The sequence below is a fragment of the Homo sapiens genome, chromosome 10 (assembly GCF_000001405.40).
Source record: "Homo sapiens chromosome 10, GRCh38.p14 Primary Assembly".
NCBI classification, from domain to species: Eukaryota; Metazoa; Chordata; class Mammalia; order Primates; family Hominidae; genus Homo; species Homo sapiens.
This window is the reverse complement of record NC_000010.11, coordinates 80,117,399-80,126,374: the sequence shown is the minus strand read 5'-3', so window position 1 is coordinate 80,126,374 and position 8,976 is coordinate 80,117,399. Positions and strand designations below refer to the sequence as shown.

The window sequence follows — 8,976 nt, the reverse complement described above, 5'->3', positions numbered from 1 at the left end:
TTTTTGTTCCCAAGTTTTATTCAAGAACTCATACAAAATATTCCAGATAAATGAAATTTAATCCTCATCTTCCTCGTCCTGATTAGTTTAGAAATAATGTAATCCATAACTCTCTTTGCTGTTAGCAGCTACGAAAACCAATCACATAGATTATTCTTCTTTGAATATTTTTTGGTGTAATATTTCAAATACCTTTTGGAAAAAGTCACCTCAGATATCATGGCGATCTTTCTCTTGCTCCTTTCGATGGTCACCACCCCTCCGCCAAGTTTCCCAGCTTTTCAGTTCACTTTGATCCTCTCTTGCAGAAACTGCTCAAAATTGGCAGCGTCTATGATTCCATATTCTACGGGGTGGGTGCAATCAAGACTGAACTTCAGAACCTGCTTCTTTTTTTTGCCCCTCTTCACCACAAGCTTTTTCCCGGGAGCCATGGTGGCAGTGGAGGCAGAAAGAGAACTGTTTCTTTTTAAATTGTTATTAATTTTATAAAATTTCAGTAGCTTTGGGGGTACAAGTTATATTTGGTTGCATGAATGAATTGTATAATGGTGAATTCTGAGATTTTAGTGCGTGCACCACCCAAGTAGTGTTCATCGTACCCAACATGTCGTATTTTATTCCACACTCCCCACCCATCCTCCCCGTTCTGAGTTTCCAGAGTCCATTATATCACTCTGTATGTCTCTGTGTCCTCATAGCTTATCTCTCACTTATAAGTGAGAACATATGGTATTTGGTTTTCCATTCCTGAGTTACGTCACTTAAAATAATGGTCTCCAACTCCATCCAAGTTGCTTCAAAAGACATTATTTCTGCTGGGTGCAGTGGCTCACGCCTGTATTCCCAGCACTTTGGGAGGCCGAAGCAGGCGGATCATGAGGTCAGGAGATCGAGACCGTCCTGGCTAACACGGTGAAACCCTGTCTCTACTAAAAAAAAAAAAAAAAAAAAAAAAAAAATTAGCCAGGCATGGTTGCCGGCATCTGTAGTCCCAGCTACTCGGGAGGCTGAGGCAGGAGAATGGCGTGAACCCGGGAGGCAGAGTTTGCAGTGAGCCGAGATCGCGCCACTGCACTCCAGCCTGGGTGACAGAGCGAGACTTCATCTCAAAAAAAAAAAACAAAAAAGACATTATTTCGTTCCTTTTTATGACTGAGTAGTAGTCCATAGTGCATATATACCACATTTTCTTTATCCATTCATTGATCAATGGGCACTTAAGGTGGTTCTGTACCTTGGGAATTATGAATTGTGCTGCAATAGGCATAACCCCTTTATTTTGCCCCCTTTCTTACATGTGGCCCTGAATCCTCCCAGGTAGGAGAAGATGTAGGAAGATAGGAAGATCCGCTTGGTACAGGGAGAAGCAAAGTGTAGAATGAGGGTAGAGGTTTAATATTAACAGTTATGGCCGGGTGTGGTGGCTCACGCCTATAATCCCAGCACTTCAGGAGGTGAGGTGGGCGGATCACCTGAAATCAGGAGTTTGAGACCAGCCTGGCCAACATGGTGAAACCCTGTCTCTACTAAAAAAAAAAGAAAAAAAAAAAGAAAGAAAGAAAGAAAAAAAAAAAAAAAAAATTAGCCAGGGGTGGTGGCACATGCCTGTAATCCCAGCTACTTGGGAGGCTGAGGCACGAGAATTGCTTAAACCCGGGAAGCAGAGGTTGCAGTGAGCTGAGATTGCATCACTGCATTCCAGCCTGTATGACAGAGCAAGACTGTCTCAAAATAATAATAATAATAATAATAATAATAATAATAATGATATTGGCCAGGCACAGTGGCTTATCTTGTAATCCTCGCACTTTGGAAGGCCGAGGTGGGTGGATCACTCTAGGTCAGGAGTTCGAGACCAGCCTGGTCAACATGGTGAAACCCCATCTCTACCAAAAATATTCTTAAAAAATTAGCTGGATGTGGTGGTGTGCACCTGTAATCCCAGCTACAGGAAGACTGAGGCAGGAGAATCGCTTGAACATGGGAGGCAGAGGTTGCAGTGAGCCGAGATCGTGCCACTGCACTCCAGTCTGGGTGCAGAGCCAGACTCTGTCTCAATAATAATAATAATCATAATATTAACAGTTATAATAAATAGTTATATTCCTAACAGCCAACATTCATGATTTCGAATTCATCGTCTAACCCAGTGTGAAGTACTACATAGTCTGGTTTTTTTAATTTGTAAAAATTTTGTTATAGATTTATTTTCTTCTGATTAAAATTTTTTTAATTTTTATGGGTACATAGTAGATATATATTTATGGGGCACATGAGATGTTTTGATGCAGGCATACAATGTGTAATAATTACATCAAGGTAAATGGGGTATCTATCACCTCAAGCATTTATCATTTTCTGTGTTACAAACATTCCAATTGTATGTACTCTTTCAGTTACTTTTAAATGAACATAGAAAAGGTACAGTAGGCTGAGCATGGTGGCTCACACCTGTAATCCCAGCACCTTGGGAGGCTGAGGCGGGTGGATCACGAGGTCAGGAGATCGAGACCATCCTGGCTAACACGGTGAAACCCCGTCTCTACTAAAAAATATACAAAAAATTAGCTGGGCGTGGTGGCATGCACCTGTAGTCCCAGCTACTCGGGAGGCTGAGGCAGGACAATGGCGTGAACCTGGGAGGCAGAGCTTGCAGTGAGCAGAGACTGCGCGCCACTGCGCTCCAGCCTGGGCAACAGAGTGAGACTCTGTCTCCAAAAAAAAAAAAAAAGAAAAAAGAAAGGGTACAGTAAAAATAAAAAAGAAAAGTTATTTAGTGGCTGGGATTACAGGTGTGAGCCACTGTGCCTGGCCAACATGGATAAGTTATTTAGTGGCAATTTCTGAGATTTTGGTGCACCTGTCACCTGAGCAGTGTATACTGTATTCAATGTGTAGTCTTCTATCCCTCACCCCCTCCCACACTCTCTTCCCCCAGTCCCCAAGTCCATTATATCACTCTTATGCATTGCGTCCTCATAGCTTAGTTCCCACTTACAAATGAGAACATATGATTTTTGGTTTTTCATTCCTGGGTTACTTCACTTAGAATAATGGTCTCCACCTCCATCCACGCTGCTGCAAATGCCATTATTTTATTCCTTTTTATGGCTGAGTAGTATTCCATGGCTACATAGTCTATTTTTCAGTTAATCTTGGCTGCTACCCTATGTGATGGGTTCTGTGATTATCCCAGAGCTTAGCAATAGCAGTTTTCTAACCAGTGTCTTTTGAAGTGATAAATCCATGTTTAGAAGAGGAGAAAACTGGCCTAAATGGAGGGTCCAGCAAAAGAACTCAGCCACCCATAGTGCCTGGTATCCACTTACTCGGTTTTGAGATGTTTTTGCAGCAGATTCACATTGCTAAGTGTCAATTCAGTTCATTGTGAAATCCATGACTATTTCCTGAGAATCTGTCAAGCTATGATTCCTGAATTCCCTGTGGGCTCAGCGGGTAGGAGTGGGTTGGCATTTCCCTCAAGCTCTTTGAGAATTTTCTCTGCAATGCTCTCTAGGGAGATGATCTTATTTTGGCTCCTTGAGGTGAGAGTTGAAGTAAAATATAAACTGTCTGAAGACATTGCTTGGCTGACTGTTCAGAGCATTTCTGAGTTAGTATCTCTTAGTAAAGGAGGCAGAGGAATTGAGTTCAAATCGTGACTTTGTCCTTATTGGTGGTGTAGCCTCAGGCAGTTCACCTCCTCTCCCTGAGCCTCATCAACAAAGATGGAGTAATAATAACATCTATGGTCACAACACAATGTAAATTCTCTTGCTCACCTGCCTCTAACCTGCTTTCCTGGGCCTGTCACTATGTTTTCTTTGCTGTATGTACTTGTAGGTTATAAATCTCCTGAGGGCAGAAAGGGTTGTGAGTAATGCCAGCTAGGCCTGCAGTGGTCCTGGAGGAGGATCAAGGTTTCCAGGAGAGATGACTGGTGACCAAGGAGGAGCTGGCAGCTAACTCTGCTTCCTGAAGGAGGTGTAAAGTAAAGGCCTCACAAAGGGGTCTTTGAACATGAGTAGGAGTTTTCTAAGCAGTGCATCCTGCATGCCATGGAGTTTAACAAAGGTGGGTGGGTGACAGGTGAGTGGGCAGTAAATCTGGGGGAAGTTTTGGTCAGATTAGGGAGGGCCTCAAATGCCACTCTCAAAAGAGTAAACTTTCTTGCTGTAGGCAGAGGTGCCAGCAGGGTTTTTGGCTGAAGAATGACACAATCCCATCCAATTCCCTCTTTCTTTTTGTCTTTTTCCTTGGAAATAATTTTGAGCTTACAAAAAGAGTACAGCAAATTATTGTACAACCTTCATCACCCTCCCCAAATATTAACATCTTACATAGCTACAGAATTATCAAAGTCAGGAAACAAACATTAATGCAATACTGTGTGAGAATCCACAAGCCTTATTCAGTATTGCCAGTAGCGCCACTGACGTCCTTTTTCTGCTCCAGAATGCAATCCAGGACTGCAAGTGGCATTCCGCTGCCGTGTCTCAGTAGGATCCTTCCATTCAGGACAGCTCCTCAGTCTTTCTCCTCCTCTCATAATTTTGACAGTTTTGAAGCATCCAGGCTAGTTATTTTTGTTTTTCGTAAACTTGACACTCTTGAAGAGTACTGGCCAATTATTTTGTAGAATGTCCTCCAACTTGAGTTTGTATAATGCTTTCTCAAAATGAGAATGACGTTATGTGTTTTTGGTGAGAACACCACAGGAGTGAGGTTATACCCTTCCCCATGCATTATATCAGGAGGCACATGTAATATTGCAGCATCCCATTACTGGAGATGATAACTTTGAGAGACGATGTGGCAAAGATTTCTCCATTGCAAAATCCTATTTTTCCTTTTGAACTTAATGAGTATCTTATGAGGAGATATCTTGGACACTATGCAAATATCTTGTTTATTATCATACTTTCACCCAGCAATTTTGGCATTCATTGGCGATTCTTGTCTGCAATAATCATTACCGCTGTGTTTTCCAACAGGTGATTTTTCTACTTTCACAATTCCTTCTCTATTTATTAATTGTAATTCATTGGTAAGGAACAGCTGTCCCTTGCCTCCCAATTACTTTTGCAATTATTTCAGTATAGACTCGTGGATATTTAGTTTATTCTGCCAGTGATAATTCATGACCAACATCATTTGTCTCATTGCTCCAGTTGTCCCAGGTACAGCCACTGTGAGAGTCTTCAAGTCACCCCCCTGTGTTTGTTTGAAATGCCCTTATTGTATTTTGAGCACTTTCTTTCTGACATAAGATGTTCCAGGATTATTTTATAATTTCACTGACCCCGCCCTATACTTAATCATTTCTCCAAAAAACTCTGCTTCCTTTTTTGAGGGAATGGTATTTAGAAACTAAGATCTGGGTACTGGATGTCCTCATTGTTACTGGGGTGTCACTGCCTCTAGGCCCTCTCAGCAGACAGAGCTAGGGAATATAGGTTACCAACTCTGAAACTATTTTATCGGTATTCTGGGATTGAGCAATTAAGTAAATATATTGTATTTAGTGGGAGGTAGGCTTCTCACTGTCAAAGAAAGAACTACAAATGAAAAGGGAAGGGCAGAGTGAACCCTGTTGTGTTAAATTAGAATAAGAGGCATTGGCATGAGCTCCTCGTATTTAATATATACACAGATTGACAGACATAGAAATAAATATGACCTGGCAATTCCATTCCTAGGCATAAACCTAGCAGAAATGCATGGTCATAAAAAATATGGATAAAAATGATCAAGATGGGTGTGGTGGCTCACGCCTGTAATCCCAACACTTTGGGAGGCTGAGGCAGGCAGATTGCTTGAGTCCAGCCTGGGCAACATGGCGAAACCCCATCTCCACTAAAAATACAAAATTAGCTGGGTGTGGTGGTGCATGCCTGTAGTCCCAGCTACTCGGGAGGCTGAGGTAGGAGGATGGCTTGAGCCTGGGAGTCAGAGACTGCAGTGAGCCGAGATCGTATCACTGCACTCCAACCTGGGGAACAGAGTGAGACCCTAGATAGAAAGAAAGAAAGAAAGAAAGAAAGAAAGAAAGAAAGAAAGAAAGAAAGAAAGAGAGAAAGAAAGAAAGAGAGAAAGAAAGAGAAAGACAGAAAGAGAGGAAGGAAGGAAGGAAGGAAGAGAAAAGAAAAACAAGAATGATCATAGCTGCACTATTATAATAGTCCTAAGCTGGAAACTACTCAAATTCCCATTGACATCAGACTAAAGAATGAATGACCTACCACTACATGCAACATTATGGATGAAAATACAATTGATGAAAGAAATTTTCTCAAAAAATGCTGTATAATACAATTGATATAAAGTACAAACCAAGCAAAATTAATCCATGCCACAAGAACTCAGTATCAATTTCCTGCAAGAGAAATGGGGGGGCTTCTGAGCTGCTGGTAATGTTCTGTCATTTGGTCTGGGTGCTGATTTCATGGGTGTGTTTAATTCTTAAAATGTATATACATGATCCATCAATAAAAAGTTTCTTAAAATATTCATCTCCTTGCCCTAAGCCTCATTTATATCTTTATGTCAACTCAGCTGCTGCACCGACCCCATAAAATGAATACAATAGGACTAACCTCTAAACCTGCTCCGCTTCTCTTCCCTTCCAGACTAGGATTGATATTTTCCTTCCAGGACTGGGACTCTTGTTTAATTTTCTTTTATTCCCTCTTCTTCTTTTTTTTTTTTGAGACGGAGTCTCACTCTGTTGCCCAGGCTGGAGTGCAATGGCGCAATCTCAGCTCACTGCACCTCTATCTCCTGGGTTCAAGCAATTTTCCTGCCTCAGCCTCCCGAGTAGTTGGGATCACAGGTGTGCGCCACCACACCTGTCTAATTTCTGTATTTTTAGTAAAGACAGGGTTTCACCATGTTGGCCAGGCTGGTCTTGAACTCCTAACCTCAAATGATCCACCCCACTTGGCCTCCCAAAGTGCTGGGATTACAGGCGTGAGCCACCGCGCCCAGCTTCCCCCTTCTTTTCACAAGTTTGATTTCTCTCTCTCTCTCTCCCTCTCTTTTCTGCCTAGGACTCTTGATCCAGTCCCACCTGCTGGTGTAGGGAGGGAAGATAGTATAGCCCCAACCAGCTAGGAGGCTGCATAAGTGTAGGGGAGGAAAGTAACTGCCAGGGGCAAGGTAGGAGATGGTGCCATATTCCAGAGTTGAAGGTTAATACCAGCTAATGGTCTTTCCGTTACTGCCTTCCAGGTATTTGCAACAAGGATTAAGGAGGAGAATAAAACTCTAATGCAATAAGCTTCCATCATTTGTAATGAACTAACTTATATTGTCCTTATTGTTAAAAGATTCATTTATTAAAAAGATAAAATCATCAGCCTGGAGTGGCAGCTCATGCCTATAATAGCAGCATTTTGGGAAACTGAGGTGAGAAGATCGCTTAAGGCTGGGAGTTCAAGACCAGCTTGGGCAATATAGTGCAACCCCCTGCTACATCATCATCATCATCATCATCATCATCATCATCATCGTCATTAGCCAGGCATGGTGGCTCATGTATGTAGTTCTAGCTACTCAGGGGGCTGAGTTTGGAGAATCACTTGAGCCCAGGAGGTCAAGGCTTCAGTGAGCCAAGCTTGCATCCCTTCACTCAAGCCTGGGCGACAGAGCAAGACGCTATCTCAAAAAAAAAAAAAAAAGATAAAATCATGACTCTCCAATGGCAGATTATAACTAATTCAAAGGAGAAGTCAGAAAAGCTCAATTATATGGAGCAAAGGAATGTTGAAACACATTCACCAACAGAGCTCAAGCCAGCTTCTTCCAGGGTGGGAAAGGGAAGTCAATTGAACCTCTACTGGCAGGATTAAATGTACAGATCTAGAGCCAAGAATTAGTTTTCATTTCTATCAGTTATCTACATTTTACAAGCTGTAAAATGGCTCCCATGGAATCAAAAGCAGATAAAGTGAAAGGGTGTGCTATAGACAATACTTAATTTTCCATTGAAAGAAAATTTTCCTACACTTTCCCTCTCTTTTGATAAAAAATAATCTCATCTATTCCTGTGTAATTCACCAATAGTAACATATCAAATACACCTATTTATTTCTGGCACCTCTCTTTTCATAAGGGGAAGTAACAAATCTTTTGTGATTTTCAATGGTATGTCTGGGAAAGCTCAGCTATCATTCCTTTTATTTTATTTTATTTCACATTTAGGACTAATTTTGGGAATGCAAAATACAAAATTGTCAGGAGATTTGAATACTTAGTGTAGGATCATAGGCATCTGAGAAGTAGTACTTGCCTACCCATTTGTAAGAGACAATACAACATTTAAAAATAGGCCAGGTGCAGTGGCTCACTCCTGTAATCCCAGCACTTTGGGAGGCCGAGGCAGATGGATCAGCTGAGGTCAGGAGTTTGAGACCAACATGGTGAAAGTCCACCTCTACTGAAAATACAAAAAATTAGCTGGGCGTGGTGGCAGGCACCTGTAATCCCAGCTACTTGGGAGGCTGAGGCAGGAGAATCACTTGAATCCAGGAGGCTGAGATTGCAGTGAGCAGAGATCACATGACTGCACTCCAGCCTGAGCAACAGGAGTGAAACTCTGTCTCTAAAAAAAAAAGAAAATAAATAAAAATAAATAAAAATAAAGATAGAAAATAACATGATCATAAAGAACTTTAGCTCCCTCCTAAATAACAAATCTTGTTTCTTTAAATAACCAAGGGCATAATAAAATCAACATGAAAATCAAAAAATAATTCTGGTAAAACACTGAATCTTTGCTATCTAGGTAGATTTACATAGAAAAAAAGAATAACCCTTCATAGTATAGGTGAAGACAACAAACAGTAAACTAGGGAAACAAGGCCATGAATATTAAACAAAATTTTTTAAGATTGTTAGTAAATTTCATGTGTTAAAATGCATATGATGTGTTTTATATGCATTATATATTATAAAATATTATACATTATATGA

The 8,976-nt window shown here is 41.1% G+C and overlaps 1 pseudogene; it reads right to left on the bottom strand.

The window, feature by feature from the left end:
* On the bottom strand, nt 1-455 carry RPL22P18 (ribosomal protein L22 pseudogene 18; annotated as a pseudogene).